The following is an 18,276-nucleotide window of genomic DNA, read 5'->3' as shown; positions in this document are numbered from 1 at the left end:
TATATTATTTAAAGTTAAATAAAATTAAAATTTTAGTTCTTCGGCAGCACTGGCCACATTTCAAGGGCTCTATAGCCACATGTGCCTGGTACTTACCACACGGGACAGTACAGATATGGAGCACTTCCATCATGGCACAAAATTCTTGTGAACAGCATTGGCATAACACAATCTGTTTTTATTCAGCATACCCCTGCGGCTGCACATTGGTATCATCTGGAAACTTTGGAAAAGTCCTGATGTCTGGCTGGGCTTACCTCCAAAACTCTAAGTCAGTGGGTCTTGAGTGAGGTCTGTCATTGGGATTTTTCAAAAGCTCCCCCAGGTGATTCTAATGTGTAGCCAGCACTGGTCTACTGAGTCTCAAGCTTATCTCATTATAAGAATTATGAACGGCCGGATGTGGTGGTTTACGCCTGTAATCCTAGCACTTTGGGAGGCTGAGGCAGGTGGATTGCAAGGTCAAGAGATCGAGACCATCCTGGCTAACACGGTGAAAACCCATCTCTACTAAAAATATAAAAATTAACTAGGTGTGGTGGCATGTGCCTGTAGTCCTAGCTACTGGGGAGGCTGAGGCAGGAGAATGGCTTGAACCCGGGACGTGGAGGTTGCAGTGGTGCAGGATCGCACCACTGCACTCCAGCCTGGTGACAGAGCAAGACTCCGTATCAAAAAAAAAAAAAAAAAAAAAAAATTAGGAACATGAGAGACTTCTAAAAAGAAATACAGACTCTTGGGAACTATTTTCTAAGGATTCGAATTCAGCAGGTGTGGGGCAGGTTTCAGGAATCTGTTTTTATTCAGCATGCCAAGTAATTCTTATGGTCAAGCAGGTTTGGGAAAATTTGATGTAGCCTAAAGATGAGAAGAACCAGGCACCAGTTTGGTCAGGCATTACGTTGGGGCTGTAGCCACAAGACCCTAATGGCCACAGCAGTCCTACAAGGTGAGTTTTATGTGTACTTATGTCATAGGCAAGGAAAATGGAAATTCAAGAAAGGCTTGTCCCAAGCCACAGCCAGTAAGTGATGGACTGGTCTTTGGACCCGGCTTGAATATTTAAGAAAGTAGGCTTTAGAGTCATTTTGAGGTTCAGATCACACCACTAAGTGAGCTTGGGCAAGTCACTAAACTTCTCAAAGTTGATCTCCTTCTTTGGAAAGTGACAGTCCCTACCTCCTAGGGATGTGGTAGTGATTGATTGAGATTATGTAGGTAAAAGGCTTTTGGTTCTTTAGGCATCAGATAAGGGTCCAGTAGCAAACTTAGCTCTGGTGGTAACAAAGAGAATGCCACTGCAGACAGCTCTGCTCTTCCCATCACATCTTTGTTCTAAGAGCATCTTTTGTTTATCTGTCTGTCTCTCTTTCTCTTCTTTTTGTTTTTGTTTTTGAGACAGGGTCTCATTCTGTCTTTCAGGCTGGAGTGCAGTAATGTGATCATAGCTCACTGCAGCCTAGACCTCCTGGCCTCAAGTGACCCTCCTGCCTCAGCCTCTTGAGTAGCTGGGACTATAAGCATGTGCCTGGCTAATTTTTTATTTTTTGTAAAGAAAGGATCTCACTGTATTGCCCAGGCTGGTCTTGAACTCCTGGGCTCAGGTGATCCTTCTGCCTCAGCCTCCCAAAGTGTTGGGATTACACATGTGAGCCACTGTGCCTGGCCTGTCTCTCTGTTTTATTAGGTGGTAGGGAGGTGCTGGTTTTGCTCTTTCATGGCGCATGGCTCTAGGTGTTGAGTGTGGAAGTCAGGAGGGTTCTTGCTGTTGACCAGGTAGGCCCAATCTGCCTCCTTACCCAGAGTCTGCTGTGCTGCAGGACTGCAAATACAACTTCAGCAGAACAATAAATGCATTAATAGAAATGATTACTTTGTGACAAAGTAGCAGCTGCCATTGATTTATAGAGCACTTGAATTCCAGGCACTGTGCTAAGTGCTTTATGTATCAATGTGTTTAATCTTTTCAGCAAATCTGAGGCAGGGGTTGTATGCTTCATTTTATAAGGCACTTTCATAGACATGGAGTCATTGGATTCATATAACAAATGCTGTATGGTGGGGGTAGTTATTCCTGATTCCCAGATTAGGAAAATGAGGTCCCTAGTAGGTGTGATATATCAGGATTACCCAGCTAGTGGTAACCAAGCTGTGGTCTCTTAGCTGCTACATTTCTGCTCCATCAACACAAAATCACTTAAGAGAAATTCAACTTATTATTTCCAGTTTTTAATTATCTTCATTCTTCTTGTGCCTTGTCCCATGAATGATGAAGAGTCAATGGCTTCTCTCCTTCAGGGGTGGAAGTGCTTTGATTTGGTTAAGGCCTGAGCAAACACAAGATGGGTGCTATCTCACTATTACATCTTAGTTCTAGCTCTTTCTCAAGGGTGAGGAAGATCCTGTGACCTCTAGACTCCCTGTAGGGAAATGCTGGCTCCTGGGAAGGCCTTTTCCCCCTCGTTCACTGCAATTCTCCACTTACACAGAACAAAAACTAGCTCATGGCAGCAAGTGGGTGTTGCAAGAGAAAGGGTGTTGGAGTCAGGAAGAACTGTGTTGGAATTACTGTTCCTTTTCCTTCTTGCTGTGTGAGTTAGAGCACATCATTTAACCTCTCTGAGCCCCAGCTTGCTCTACTGTATAAATGAGATTAATAATAACATTTATCTTACATGAGTGCTGTGAGGGCTGAATTAGTCAATGGCCATTAATGCCTAGGCACACAAAGGCATTCAAATAGGAATGATGACCATCTGTGATCATAGTCATCAGCCAGCCAAGTAGAGAAGTAGCAGGAGGAAGGGGAGCTGTGATGCTCCACCTGGAGTTGTCCCAGGGCCCCTTTCTCTCAGTGTTGATTGGGGACAGAGGAAAAGGGGGGTCGGTCCTGGAGAAAGGACAGAGGTCCTTTAATGAGCTCAGGAAAGCCATTCTCCTGACAATAACAGCCCTGGGCTCTGCAATAACATCCTGCCAGAAGAGGTAGCGACAGGATATGTGCTAGGAGTGGGAGCGTGTGGCAGCCCCACCGCCCGCCTGCCTGCCAGCCCCTTAGCCCTAAGAAGGTTCAGGAAGTAGCAGCCGGGGATCAGAGGGAGATGAAGACTTCCCCCTCCACATGCATCCTGGACTGATATGGAGACTGGAACATCAGCTGTCTTGGACAGACACTCCTGTGGGGCAGATGGTTAGAGGCTTCTCCATGAGCTGCTCCTGTTCTATCACTGCCCCTGCCTTAGCAGGAACTATCTTCTGGGTCCATTCTCAGTGGCCTCTGTGGTTCCACTGAGTCAAGGAGCAGGACACATAAAGGGGAGTGGTCTCCACTTGTCAATCAAACACCCCTACAATATTTGTCGAACATCCTCTGAGTGCTGATGACAGAGCCTGACTGTGCAAGTACATTGATGATGGGGAGAGAGAGACTGTCCCAGGCCAGGGGAGTCTGTGGTTGGGTGGAGGAGAGAGAGAGAGGATAAGCAAGCACAGTGAGCTGAATGGAAATCCAAAAGTCCAGGGTGCTTTGGAGGTTGTGTGTGGGGTGGGATAACATGAGGGAAGGCTTCATAGAGGAGGAGGCTGGGCATTCAGCTGAAGGAAGAGCAGGAGTTGGCCAAGTGAAGAGGTGGGAAACAGCCCTGAGTGAGCTGGTAAGGTAAGGGAGGAGCTGGGAAGTGCCAAGTGAGGGACTGTGGCTCAGAGTGACAGGGCCGTGTCTGGAGACGACATCGGGGTCAGGGTCTCGGAGGACCCATCCTGAAGGATGAACTTCATATGAGGGTGGGGTGAAGCCACTGCAGTCCTTCAACAGAGAAGTGAGGCGATCAGATTTGCAGTTTGAATCTTGACATGCTCTCTCCCATCAACGGACAGACACACCTTCACAGGGACCTGCTCTGCTCTCAGGCCTGGAAGGATCCAAGGAGGCTTCTTGTCAGGGCCAGAGTCCAGAGACATGGAGCAGAGAGATCAGTGTGGGACACCAGGGAGCAGGACCCAGACCTTGGCTCTGCAGTCATTCACATGGCAAGTCTCTTTCACCCTCTGGACCCCATTTCCTAGGTGTAAACAGAGAAGCTGGAACCTGGTGAATCCTAAAGGCCCTTTAGAACAATATATTCTGTGATCCAAACTTAAGATACTTTCCTGACTTCAAGAAACTTATGGTCTGGGGTTGAATGACCGAATGAGACGGCACATTTAATAAATGCTGGTTGACTCTCAGAAAGCATCAACTGGGGGTAGGGGGTGGGAAGGAACCATAACTCTCCATTTCCTGGAAGATGAACTTTCTGCGTGCAGAGAAGGGAGGGATTGCCATCGTGTGCTCACCTCCTGCTGGAACTGAGGTTGGATTCTTCATTAATCTCAGTACTGAGTAGGGTCAGCCTCTCCAGCTGGTGGGCAGGCAACACAACAGGCTACAGGTGCTCTCCCCATGGGAGAGTCCGGCATCTTGCTCTTGGAGCCTTTCTTATAAAGGGGTGATTAGGCATCCCCGGAGAGTCATTGGAGGCTCTTGTCCACAGGATCATAAATGAATCCTATCGCAAATTCATTCCCATCCCTTCCTGAAGGCAGGGATGCAACAGGGAAAGGTGTCAGCTTGAAGTGGTAGACGTGGGTTAGATTCCTGGCCCTGCCAGTGAGTGACTTGTGTGACCCTGGGGGACAAATCATTCTTTCTCCTGGATCTTGGTTTCCTCATCTATAAAATGATAGAGTCTTCCCAAGTGATAGTTGTGTTCTAGGCACTGGATGCTGGTGATAGGAGATGAAGAAGGCTATTCTGGCTGAGGAGACAGGTGTGGAAACACATTCTCTCAGTGTAGTAGTATACAATGCTAGTGGGATGCCCAGGAGGCATAGAAATGCAGATTTAGGAACCTTAGTCCAGCAGGGGTGATACAGGAAGGCTTCCTGAAGGAGGAGGCCCATTTACACTTGAATGATCTGTGCAAGTCAGTGGGTGGAGAAGGTGGGGGAAAAGGCACTTTAAGACATTTCCAAAGAAGAATCTATCTAGTCATCTTGTCTTTCCACAGTACAGACTTCAGCTCTCCTCCTAATCTGATGCTCTGGAGCCATTGCCCCGGGCTGCCTGCTGGCTGGGAGGGCAGCCAGCTCAGAGCGCTCTAGGGTGGACTTCTGAGCACCCTCTGCTGGAATGAACTCTGAGCATAGCCATAGCAATTGGCTAAGTCTCAAGCTTGCCTTGGGCAGAGCTTTCCAGCAGTCAGCAGGATGTCTCCTCGGGAGCCTGACAGTCTTAGATCAGATCTGTTTTAGTCTTGGTCTCTGCCAGGGCTTTTGGAAAAGGTGCCATCCTCTTCTTAGGAGCTTCCTAAGGGCAGAACATCCAGTCCCTCATCTTGAAAAGGTTTATTGAGTGTAGACTATGGGATGAGTAGGAATGAGAGAAAGCAATGTCATCCCTGAACGCACTCAGAAATGGACAGGAATGCTCTGTAGGGAAGGCAATGGTCTTATGGGAAAGTCTACCCAGGGAATCTGAGCTAGCCTGGTGAGTTCCCAGGAGGATTTCTAAGCAGAGATGCCTGAGGTGAAATCTAAAGGAAGGGAAGAAATGGACAAGTTGAAGAAGGGAGTGGGATAGAGAGGAAGCAGATCAGCATTCTAGGCAAAGAAATTGCATGAACAAAGATTGAGGCTTGGGAGGCTTGTCTATTAAGGAAGCGAAAGGCCAAGGGACTTGTGTACATTGAGGAAGGGAGGGTGGTGAGACATGGTGCTGAGGGGTGGGCTGGGTTAGCCGTGAGGGTCTCACAAGCTGCACTATTGTTTACCCTAATTGCAATGGAACTCCATACAAGCAGCAGGCTAACATGATCTTATATATATATATATATATATTTTTTTTTTTTTTTTGAGACAGGGTCTCACTCTGTTGCTCAGGCTGGAGTGCAGTGGCATGAGCATGGCTCACTGCAGCCCTGACCTCCTGGGCTCAAGTCATCTTCCTGCCTCAGCCTCTTGAGTAGCTGGGACTACACACAAACGCCCCCATGCCTGGATAATTTAAATTTTTTTTTTTTGGTAGAGCTGGGATCTTGCTATGTTGTCCCGGGTGGTCTCAAACTCCTACGCTCAAGTAATCCTCCTGCTTCAGCCTCTCAAAGTTCTGGGATTGATTACAGGCGTGAGCCATTGTGCCTAGCTGATTTGTGTTTTGAAAAGAAACTTCACACTGGTAGTCTCCAGCATAGAGATGAGGGAGGGGCGGCAGATGTTGCTTGACCAGTTAGGAGGCTATTGCAGTGGTCCAGGTGAGAGCAGGCAGCCTGATTGAGTAGGTGGCAATGGAGCTGTCGAGATGGGGTCTGCTGGGTTACAGTGCATGCAGGTGATCAGGGAGAGGGCATGTCAAGATGTGTTCCAGTTTCTGAGATAACAGAGCTCTGGACTGAGAGATCATCTAGTCCGCCCCTCATTTAACTCCCCAAGGAAACTGAGGCTTAGAAATGGGAAGGGACTTTCCCATGCTGGCAGAGCAGGGACAGTATTAGAGCCAAATCCTGTCCATGCTCATCCTGTTCTTTTATGGTAGAAAGCTGAAATCGTAGGGCAGGAAGTAACCTTAGACATCAACTTGCCTAATTCTAACATTTTATAGATAAGAAAACTGAGGCCTCAAGGGATGAAGCTTTAGTGGCCAAAGGCCACCCAGGGAGCTAATTAATTAATCAGTTGAATGGCCTAAGCACATATAAACATGGCTCTGCTGACCCCTAGATAGTGGGACATGTGTTTGTTCAGGAGGGAGATGACTTGGCAGACGTCCCTCCGAAGGCTTTCCCAAGCATCCTTGTGTTGCTGCCTCCTCACTCAGCTGGCTGCCTGGGGTTAGGGAATCCAGATGTCTGGGGCTACAGAAGCCAGCTGGATTTTCCCATGTCATGGGTTCCCAGAGTTTGGGCTCAATAGTTCAGTAGCCATGGGAAGGGGGGTGAAAGGCAGGGAAGGAATGCCAAGCTGTTCTTTCGGCAAATTCCCCAGCTGCTGAGGTTAGAAAAAGGGTTGATGTCCTCTGGTTTCTGGATATCCTCCTTCTGGCAGGTCAGAGCCCTAAATCTAAGGCCAGAGCTTGCACATTGCTACCTTGCATCAAAATACAGGGACCGTGCTCTTTAGAACCAAATGTTGTGACGGGGTCTGACAGATGTTGTCAAATATTGTGCTGTTTCCAGATGAACAACAGCTCATTTGAGAGACGTATTAGTTTGGTGGCAGTATGTTGGAATTTTCATTCTTTAGAAAAACAAGCAGAATATTTGAAATTGGGATTACATTGGAAAATCCCAGAACATATTTTTGGCAGCTGTCTGAGTAGCCCATCATCTGGGTGACCTGGCCTTGTCTCTGAGGAATCACTCAGAGACCTAGCTCTCTGCACCTGTCCCCCTTGGCCCCTCAGGAACATTCAGGCAAGTGGGGAAAGTGGCATCAACTTTCCTGGAGGCTCAGGTGGCTCGGAAGACTGTGGTTTGTGGAAAAGCACAGGGTCTTTGGAATGATACATCCCTGGGGCTGGAGCTGGGGGGCACAGTTGTGTCCTGGCCTTACCACTTACTATGTGGGTGACATCGGTATTTTCTTCTCTGATCCCCAGTTTCTCATTCTGTTAAGTGGGAATGAGGATCCCTATTTCACGTTACCATTGTGAGTATGAAATGAGAGAATCGGAAAAACACACTTAATATGTTGTCTGGCATTGAAAAAAGCATTCAGTAGATTTAAATTGTTGTTTGTTCTCACTCCAGGATCCTGAAATCAACCAAGGCTGAGTCAGATGGATTTCGATCAATGGAACCCTTCCTCTCCAGCTCTGGCCACTCCTGGGTGCCCCTTGGGGTTCACTGTCATGGCAACGGGTCTGTGGAGTGGTGTGGAAGCCGATCGGGGAAGCTAGGCAGCCAGAACGCTGCCTGGCCTGCCGGCGCCACAGCCAAGGAGGGCGGCCACCTGATTAATGCCTGCCTGATCCATTGGCCTCATCTCAGGCCACCCTGGTAGAAGCTTCTTGCTCAGGGAGGGATGGAGCGTCACTCCTTGGGATGTGCCAGGACCCTGGTCAGTGGGCACAGTTACAGGTGCCGCAGAGTCTTAGAACTGCCCAAGCAAAATATCAGAGCTGAAAGGGACCCTGGAGATTTGGTATTCCAGGCGCCTCTCTTTATGGCTGAACAAAGAATACATGGGTAACGAATGCTTACAGTGTGCCCAACACAGTATGAAGCTCTTTCCCCACAGGTTAATTTCTACAATAACCCCGTGGAATAAGTATAATTATCCCCATCAGGGAGGTAGAAACCAGGGCTCAGAGATATGAAATATTTTGTTCATGACACACGACGTATATTTGCACCCAGGACTTTCCTGTTCCTATGTTCTTTCTACCGTCTCACTTTACTGATTGTTTGTCCAGTGCTCTGGAACTTACCTATCTCATCCCTGGCTGTATTTCCTATGCTTGCACAGTGCCTCACGTGTCTTAGGGTTTTGGTAAAAGATTGTGGAATAAATGAATTGCTGTGGTTAATCTTGAACTGTTTTTGCAAGTATGATCCTAAAGATGGGTCAGGGAAGCATATGCATGTTGAAGGGAGGGCCAATTATCAGACTCTAAAGATGAGAAAGGGAGGACTAAGACCCTAAAGATGAAAATCTCCCCTGCACCTCCCAGACCCTCCATTGCAGGCTATTCTTTCAAAATACCCTTTGTTCCAGTCACACTGGATTCTGTCGTGAGCATCCACTCTTCCTTCCCCTCTGTGCTGTCTCTCCTGCTTTCCCTCCACCTGGAATGGCTCATTTCCATCTTTACTGAAGAGCTTATACCCATCTTTAAATTTCAGATGTCCCCTTCTCTGTAAAGTTTGGTCTCTCACTTCTCTAAATTCATATTGTACTTGCAGATCTCTTTCTCGTGTCCTTGATTGCATTCTTCATTGTAACACGTCTTCTTGTGACTGTGGAACTCCTCCCCATTAGACCATGGGCAACTGGAGGGCCCTGGCAGTGTCACATCCTGGCATCATCCGGGGCATCTAGCATGCTGGCACACACATCAGTAGTAATGAATGTCTAATTGAATGGAATTGACTTGGGGCAGAGTACTGATACACTGGGATTGGGCTGGATTGGTCAAGGAGTAGCGCTAGAGTTAGGCAGAGATGAGGGTGGGCAGAAGGGGTGGGCCTCTATCTGCTCCATTTCCCTGAAAGCGGCCCTCTCCAGGGACCTCTCTGACCTCCGCTGACCTTCACTAGGGCTGTTTTCTCATTCTCTTGGATCAGGCTGAGAAAAACAGGAAGAATCATTAAGAGACAGAGCCTTCCGAGCCAGCGAAATTATTGCTGATTCTTTTTGCAGGCACCAAAAAGAATTTGTTTGTGCGTTGTGACGAAGAGTGGGCCTTTCCTGCTGGCCCCCAGGAGAAGCCTCTACCAACCTCCTGGATCCACCCCAGGCACCGTGCCCAGCCCCATTTACCTCTCTTTTTCTCCCTTCCATAGTTAGAGTATCTACTATTTTTTCATAATTAAAAAACAGAATCGGAGGATCCCTCATTGTATCCAAAATTTCTCCCTGAGAGATCATTTGCCCCATTGCTACTCAAAGTGTGGTCCATGGGCCAGTAATGCTGGAGGTTTGTTAGAAACGCAACTTCCAGGCCTTCCTTCCCAGCCTACTGGTTTGGAATATGTACCTTAACAGGATCCCCGGGAAATTGTTATGCACATTCAATTTTGAGAAGTGCTGCTATAACCCACTTACATTTTTTAAATTTTAAAATAGGAGGTGAAATACCAACCCCAGAGAGGGAAATTGATTTGCTAACTAGTGTCATTATTAATTTGGTTAAACAAACATTTACTGAAAACCTGCTACACATCCAGCCCTATGCTGGGCACGGTGGATAAAACATGAATCAATAATCTCTGATCTCTTTGGTTTTTAGTAATTCTTCATGTACCTAAACATTGCCTTGCCTCACGCCAGGGCCTCGGCAAGTGTTTGTTGAGGGACTATGTCTCTTGAATTAAAGCCTAGGGCTTCCTCTACATTACTACAGCTGCCTTCTATAATTATCAGCCTCCTGGAGTAAATCGTAGCACTTTTAGCCAGAAATAAATAAATTCTTCAAGGAGGAAATCAGAGTGGGCTGCATCGTTGGTTTTGCCAACTCTTGACAAATCCCAAGACTCTAATAATGAGATAGGGCTCATGCATCCAAAACTCCACATATCACAAATGGTAGAAGAGGAGGATCTTTATGGAAACAAGGAATGATTTTCAATGGACTAAACCAGCAGTCCCCAACCTTTTTGTCACCGTGGAATGGTTTCATGGAAGACAATTTTTCCACACGCCTGGGATGGGGAATGGTTTTGGGATGATTCAAGTGCATTACATTTATTTTGTACTTTGGTATTATTACATTGTTAACAATAATGAAATAATTATACAACTCACCAAATTGTAGGATCAGTGGGAGCCCTGAGCTTGTTTTCCTGCAACTAGAGGGTCCCACCTGGGGGTGATGGGAGACAGTGACAGATCATCAGGAGTTAGATTCTCTTAAGGAGCGTGCAACCTAGATCCCTCGCATGCGCAGTTCGCAATAGGGTTGGCACTGCCATGAGAATCTAATGCCACCGCTGATCTGACAGGAGACAGAGCTCAGGCAATAATGCGAATGATGCGGAGAAGCTTTAAATACAGAGGAATCTTCGCTCACTCGCTTGCCTGCTGCTCACCTCCTGCTATGCAGCCTGGTTCCTAACAGGCCACAGACTAGTACCCATCCGTGGCCCGCAGGTCAAGGACCTCTGGACTATACCATTGCTTCGATGAAGCAATACAGGATGTATAACGTATCCAAAGATCAGTGCTCAGCTCCACCTCCACCAAAGGTCTGGTGATTGTTCTCAATTCTACTGCTGATGATTCTATTCTGTTCAATCTAGATCGTCTTCTGGGTATTCCATGTTGCTCTTGTTCCCTGAGATCTCTGTTGGAATGTCTATTTTTTTCGCTGAAGGACTTTATTATACGTTTAAAGTAATCTACAGAAATAACCTTTATTTCTATGGAAGGCCTTGCTTTTCCCTTATCTATTTATTCATCAAAATGATGAATGCAGTACAGCTGCACTCCTCTATGTAACTCATGGGCTCAGCGTCTTTGTCTGTGCTACCTTTGACTGCTGCTTTATTTCTGGGAACTCAATATTCTCCCACCATTGTGGAGTGAGACAGGTTTAAAATTCTTTGCATAGACAAAATCTCATACTACTTTGTGTCTGAATTGGAAATGAATTTTTTTTTTTTTTGTCAAAAAATGCCTGTCATGATACATTGCTCTGTAACAATGCCATTTTGCAGGAGTAACTTGGGAAGTCCCTATCTTTTTTCTTTTTTTTTAAACAGAGTTTCCCTTTTGCTACCCAGGCTGGAGTGCAATGGCGTGATCTCGGTGCACTGCAACCTCTGCCTCCTGGGTTCAAGTGATTCTCCTGCCTCAGCCTCCCTAGTAGCTGGAATTATAGGCGCCCACCACTGTGCCCAGCTAAATATTGTGTTTTCAGTAGAGACGGGGTTTCACCATGTTGGCCAGGCTGGTCTTGAACTCCTGACCTCAGGTGGTCCACCTGCCTCAGCCTCCCAAAGTGCTGGGATTAGAGATGTGAGCCACCATGCCCAGCCAGGAAGTCACTACTCTTAACGAGCAGTATGAGACCAGTTGTGGTCATCTTCTCTTTCTTAACTTTTTTTGTCCTTGTCAAATCTTTTAATAATCAAGTCTTTACAATACTGTGCACTGAAATTTCCTAAAGCAAAGGAAAGTGATACAAATTTCCTGCAGCATTATTCCTGGAGAAGTTAGAAGCAAAAACTAAGGATTTTTATCTATTCCTTGCATTGCAATTAAATTGCATCTAGAATAAGTGTATTCTTGTTAATAATAAAAAAAGCAGCTAATTTTTTGTTGATTTCTTACTGTGTGGTTGGCACTATTATATGCTCATTAATAGGACTCCAGAGCATGGATGATTATTTTCTGTACAGCTTGCTTCTGGGATGCAACAGTCACTCTAGGTTTCAGCCTTGTGTTACTGACACATTTTTGTCCCCAATAAGTCTTTTTCTTATAGATTAGTGTTTCAGTTGCATATTGTTGCATAACAAAAACATAGAGGCTTAAAACAATAAATTGTCACCACTGTAGCTTAGTTGGAGAGTTGTTTTGCTGGTCTTGCTTTGGTGTCCCATGGGGATGCAGTCAGAGGGTAGTTGGGGCTGAAATGTTCAATATGTATCCACTAATATGTCTGGTGCCTTGGGGGAATGGCTAGAAAGATGGGCTCAGCTGGCATGCTGGAAAGGTTGAGCTTCTTTTCTCTCCACGTGGTCTCTCCATATGGACTCTCCATCACTCTCCATGGATCAGACTTAATCCATGGTGGCTCAGGGCTTCCAAGAGCACAAAAGCAGAAGCTGCCAGGCACAGCATTACTTCTGCCACTTTTTGTTGGTTAAATCAAGTCACAGGGCCAGCGCAGATTCAGTGTGGGAGTGGACCACTCATGGATATGAATATTGAGGTCATAGTTCACTTGGTCCCAGGTTTGGAGACTCGCTTTCACAGCTTGCCAGTGTGACCTATCTGGTATCTGATAGATACTGGGTCTGGAGGACAGAGGTGATTAAAACCCTGGCTTTGTCACATTTCAGCCCTGTGACATTAGACAAGTTACTTAAGCATCTCTCAGCTTCTAAGTCTTTCCCTGTAAAAAAGGAATGATAGTAATAGTCGCTATCACTAATTGAATATCACTCTGTCCCAGGCACTGTTCTAAGTACTTTATTTACATGAGCTCATTTAATCTTCTCAGAGGTCCTATGAAGTAGCTACCATTATCCTCTGAAATTTACAGGCAGAGAAACTCAGATTCAAAGAGGTGATGTCAGCTGCCCAAGGTGGCAGTATTGGGATTTGAAACCAGGGAGTGTGGTTTCCTAGTCCATGCTTTTAATCAAGTCTGTGCTTTCTTCCAGGAAAATCGTGAGACATCCGTGAGATATTGCAAGTACATTGGTGCAGTGTGTAATACATTGTAAATGCATAATGATTATAACGGTTTCGGATGTTCTCAGTATTAGCACCATCCTGAGACACCTAGTTTCTCACAATTGCCTTTCATTCCTTGGTTAAGATGAGTGAGTACAAGCTGCTCATTCCCATTTTTCTTTATGTGATTCTGTGCAATATTCCCATTTCATATTTGAGCCCATCTCAAATATAATTTGTTTCCTGGGTTTGTTTCCTGGTATACAGTCAAGGGAGTCTAAGACTCTCCTTCTAGGAAACAACTTTAGATTGATGCTCCGCCTCTAGCACATCACTATGGATACAAATCTATCTCTACTGAAAATGCTGCTGATTATTAGACTTGAACTCCAGTTCCCGAGGCCCCATTGCTCTATTTAAGGTCCACTGGGACACTCCGAATGATATTGCAGACTGTTGAAACCAACTCTGTGTGTTCATATTTTTCTACCCCCATCTCCGGGCCCTCAGGTTTTGGCCGTTTCCTGACATTATGAATCTGTTTTTCTATCTGCTTCCTCCCTCTCCCTTCCAACTTACTCATCAGGGTTTTCTGACTTACTGATTGTTGACTATCTGTTGTGTGTGTATGTTTTTTAATAGAATTAAGACAGTCTTTCCGCTACTTAGGCCTGGCTGAGCATTGCTGCAGCTGATGTGAAAAAAAAGATTAGGAGTTATTTTTGATTTTTCTTTTGTCCTGTCTCCCTACATCCAATGCATCAGCAAGTCCTATTGGCTCTGCCTTTCAAATTTCTACTCTGATTGTTCCTTCATCCACCACCAGCCCTGGTGTCCCTTTGGAATGCCTTTCCCCTGGACTCATGGAGAAGGCCCCTCCCTGATGTCACAGCTTATATATTCTTTCCCACCTTTTGAACATACAGCATCTAGAACGGTCTTGGAAAATCGCGTCAGATCATGTTATTCCCCTGCTGAAAGCCCTCCAGTGGTTTTCCATTGCATTTATACAAAATTTGAAGTCTGACCAGAGCCCACAAGGACCTACTTATCGGGTGAGATCTAGGCCTACCTCTGTAATCTCACCCCCCAAACCTCTTCCTGCTGTATTTTCTTTGCAGCACTTATCACTATCTGGAACTATTTATTTTTCTTGTTTATTGTCTGATCTACCACCATTACCGACCCTCTCACCCCGACCCCTGCATAGAAAGACACCAAGGGGCAGGGGCAGGAATGTTAGTTTCTTCAGCACCATATACCCAGCCCTGGAAATATATGTCTAGCATGTAGAGGTGTGGGATTCATATTTTTAAATGAATGGAGGCATAAACTGCTTATTTATATGGGAATCTAACTCTTGGCCAAGTAGTCTTCTTATATCAACCATTTTCATAGCTTTGGCTTATTTATTTATTTAAGACTGCGTTTTGCTCTTTTCACCCAGGCTGGAGTGCAATGGCGTGATCTCAGCTCACTGCAACCTCCACCCCTTGGGTTCAAGTGATTCTGCTGCCTCTCCCTCCTGAGTAGCTGGGACTACAGGCATGCACCGCTACGCTCGGCTAATTTTTTTGTATTTTTAGTGGAAACCAGCTTTCACCATTTTGGCCAGGCTGGTCTCGAACTCCTGACCTTTGGTGATCCACCTGCCTCTGCCTCCCAAACTGCTGGGATTACAGGCGTGAGCCACTGTGCCCAGCCCAGCTTTGGCTTTTAATATGCAGATCCAGGGATCTCTTTTGAATACTGGCTCAGCTACAGGAATAGAATCCTTAGCTTTGTAAAATTAGCCACATTATTTTGTGTTTTCTAGAATGTCATGCAGTATACTCCTGAATGATTCCATGAGATAGGTGTAAAGCTGGGTGGAGGATGGGGGCACCTAACAATATTATTTTTCTTGTAACTGTGTCACAGTGGCGTTTGTATTTCCTTGTGATCTCTGCCTTCCATGTTGAGGGGGTTGGGAATAATGACCAGCAATACAATACAGCCAACATTTTCTCTTTAGATAGCCTCTTTACCAGCATCCACTAGGAGTAACTTTTTCCCAGCAACCTGGCAGACCTATCCCTGCTGTGGTGATTTCTGGTAGACTTTCTGAAATCTGAATGTCATCAGTGAACTCTCTAGCTTGGTAGCATTTTTTTTCTTCTTCTCAGTTTCCTTCCTTCTCATCCCGATGACCATTTCCCATGAGGAGTTTCATTCCCTTCGTGAAGTTCAGGTTGCCTAACTGTTGATGCATTTTAAATATTTTTGGTCTCAGTCCAGATTGATCCAAACCAGGTTTCTAAATGCCTTACTTAGTTCTAAAGGAGTTTGAAATTAGAAATGAAAAGAAAGAGAAAGAAAGTAAAAAATGAGGGGCACTAAAAAATGGAAAAAGCTGACTGCTTCTAGACCTAAATGATAAGAGATAAAATTGAAAAAGGCTGTGAGCAACAAGGTGCCCTAAAAACATCCAGTTAATGAGACTTAGCCAAGAGGAAATGAACAAGAATAAGAATGTGTCCTTCTCATCTGTTGTTTCAGATAATTGCAAGGCTGCATTAAGGGAAGAGAAAGAGGCATGGAAGAAGAGAAAGCAAAGCATCACAATAGGCTTGAAAGCACTTTTTGGGACAAAACTTTGTATGTGTACTGAAATGTGGAACTTAGTGGAAGCAAACAGAAATCTACTACGTTTTTAAGGGAGGTAAATTGCTATGAAACCATGAACCTGGAACCAAAAAGCTTTCGACTATTGAGTCCTAAAACCAGTTTCACGCCAGCATACTTGCACCAGCAGAAGGCTGGCTGTTGAAGCTGGGTAACTGCCAAAGGTTGCATTCTCCCCAATATCCACTGTAGATATAGCCATGGTGGATAATGGAAAAGGGAGACCCTTCAATCAAAAGGGAAGAGTCAGGTCACAGAGGACGGTGACAAAGGAGTTCTTCTCAGAAAACAGAATCAGAGTTGAATATAAGAACTTAGTCTGAGGCCTTCATAATGCTCTCCAAGCAGGATTTCAGAATTGCTATGAACCATAATGGGCGTGTGTGTTTTCCTTCTTTTCAAACAAGGTCTTTAATTTGCTGTTACTCTGTCCCTGTGCCACCATTGTATATTGGGTGTGTGTAGAGTAGGGGGTGGGTTGGGGGGCAGATAATTTTTCTTTTTAGTTCATAGGTCACTGGACCACCAAGAGACCTGATGGAGATACTGGAACATTGGCGATCTTGAGCTTTGACCTGGATGTGCTGACAGGGTAAGATAAGTGTGGAGGAAGAGTGAAACAGGTATTTGGTAACAAGAAGAGCAGACCATGTTAGAGACTGGTGGAGTTGATCAAAGTCTGTTTCCTTTGCCTTCTATGTGCACAGCTAGTCTACTTCCCTGATGTTAAATGAAATCATGGGACTCAGTTCTGGCCAATGGAATATGCGGGAATTAAAGTACAATGCTTCTATTTTTGACTCCTGCAAATGTCCTTGAGATCCTCCATGCTGTAGAGAATTCCCATGGCCTCAGAGATGGCAGAGCCACTAGATGGAAGAATCCTGGGTCCCTGAATAACCATGTGAGGCAGAGCCTCTGACATGCTTTGGGACATGACATGAGCAGGAAATAAGAATTAATTGTGTCAAATAACCTAGCAAACACATCTCTACTTTGTTGAGATTTTGGAATCACCTATTATCACAATTAGTCTACCTTGTCCAATGCAACCATTAAAGCTACTTGCAATGAAACAGATAGGATACTTGTTGGTTTTACCTATTACTCTCCAATTTTTTTCACCAAATAATCACAGAAGACTGATATGGTTTGGCTGTGTCCTCACTCAAACCTCAACTTCAATTGTATCTCCTAGAATTCCCACGTGTTGTGGGATGGACCTAGGGGGAGGTAATTGAATCATGGGGGCTGGTCTTTCCCATGCAGTTCTCGTGATAGTGAATAACAAGATCTGATGGGTTTATCAGGGATTTTCCCTTTTGCTTCTTCCTTATTCTGTCTTGCTGCTGCCATGTAAGAAGTGTCTTTCACCCTCCGCCATGATTATGAGACCTCCCCAGCCATGTGGAACTGTAAGTCAAATTAAACCTCCTTTTCTTCCCAGTCTCAGGTATGTCTTTATCAGCAGTGTGAAAATAAACTGATATAAAGACCTCTGTGGCTAAAACCCTACTTTTGACTGAGACTGAATTTTCTCTTATGGCCCACATTGTTCTTGTCTTCTGAAGTTAGTCAGTCACCAAGTATTACTGAGTGTCTAAACTCAGATCAACTACTTACTAGCTATGTGACCTTAAGCACGTTAGCTTGTTTGTGCCTCAGTTGCCTCATCTGTAAAATAGAAATAATAATAGTACTTACCTTGGGTTTTTGTGAAAATTAAGTAAATTAATCCATATATAGTGCTTAGCAGAGCAGCTGGCACACAGTAAGTGATGAGTAAATATATCATCATCATCAACATCATCATCATCACCATCATCAGTCCTTGGCACTATGAACAGCATTGAATGGGATATGCAAGATCTGGTCTTTCATGAGATGTCTGCTTATTTCAGGAGCCTTATTTTTGATCTTGCACTTGTTCAGCATAGTCTCTATTAAATACTTAATTTGAAGAGAAGGGTTTTGCCTCCCTCTAATCTACTCTAGAAAACACTGATTACAGTTGAAGATGTTCTCTGTTTAGCTAAGTGTTCTGAGTCAGTATCTGTGTTCCATTTAGAGGCTATGAGTGCGGTATTTGTTTGTACCCTGTGGCAATTGGAGTGGGAGGAATAGAGGGAGGTTAACATCCCTATTGGTGGAAGGAACTACTTTCTGCTCAGAGCCACTTCCTGCTTGGATTGACTTCCTTACAGCCACTTCCTACTTAGAATACTAAGATAAAAACAGCTGCCATTGTACCTACAGAAGTACACTTTCCTTCTTTTCCTGTCCCTATTCTCAAGGTACACTGCCTAGGCATCTCACTTCTGATGATGTACAGGCAACACTTGCAAAACCCAGGAGGTTTAGAATCCTTTCCCTTCTTTATTAACCTATGAGAACAGAGGCTGAACTTATACCAGCAATGGCCTCATCCAGCCCCAACACCATGCATTTAGATGCCTGATTTACCTGCATGCCTGAGTTAATGTCTTTCTGCCCATGCTGCTGGTGTGTGCTATC

At 45.1% G+C, this 18,276-nt stretch overlaps 1 long non-coding RNA gene across 4 annotated transcripts in view, besides 1 other annotated feature; it reads left to right on the top strand.

Moving 5' to 3' along the window:
• LOC105369309 (uncharacterized) overlaps positions 1-18,276 on the top strand; it is a 189,617-nt gene that overhangs the window by 21,225 nt on the left and 150,116 nt on the right. For all 4 annotated transcript variants that reach the window (XR_007062670.1, XR_007062671.1, XR_950120.3 and 1 more), the window contains one exon: positions 15,637-16,354. This is a non-coding gene — a long non-coding RNA (uncharacterized LOC105369309). The remainder of the gene's footprint in view (positions 1-15,636; positions 16,355-18,276) is intronic.
• Positions 4,993-5,287: a silencer, noted in NCBI's record as "tiled region #8342; K562 Repressive non-DNase unmatched - State 13:Ctcf". NCBI's record gives its function as "represses a minimal TATA promoter and a strong SV40 promoter by Sharpr-MPRA in K562 cells {active_cell/tissue: K562}" and the evidence as "EXISTENCE:reporter gene assay evidence [ECO:0000049][PMID:27701403]".

Source organism: Homo sapiens, chromosome 11 (genome assembly GCF_000001405.40).
Source record: "Homo sapiens chromosome 11, GRCh38.p14 Primary Assembly".
Classification (NCBI taxonomy): Eukaryota; Metazoa; Chordata; class Mammalia; order Primates; family Hominidae; genus Homo; species Homo sapiens.
The sequence above is the reverse complement of the archived record's forward strand: the minus strand, read 5'-3'. Positions and strand labels throughout refer to the sequence as shown.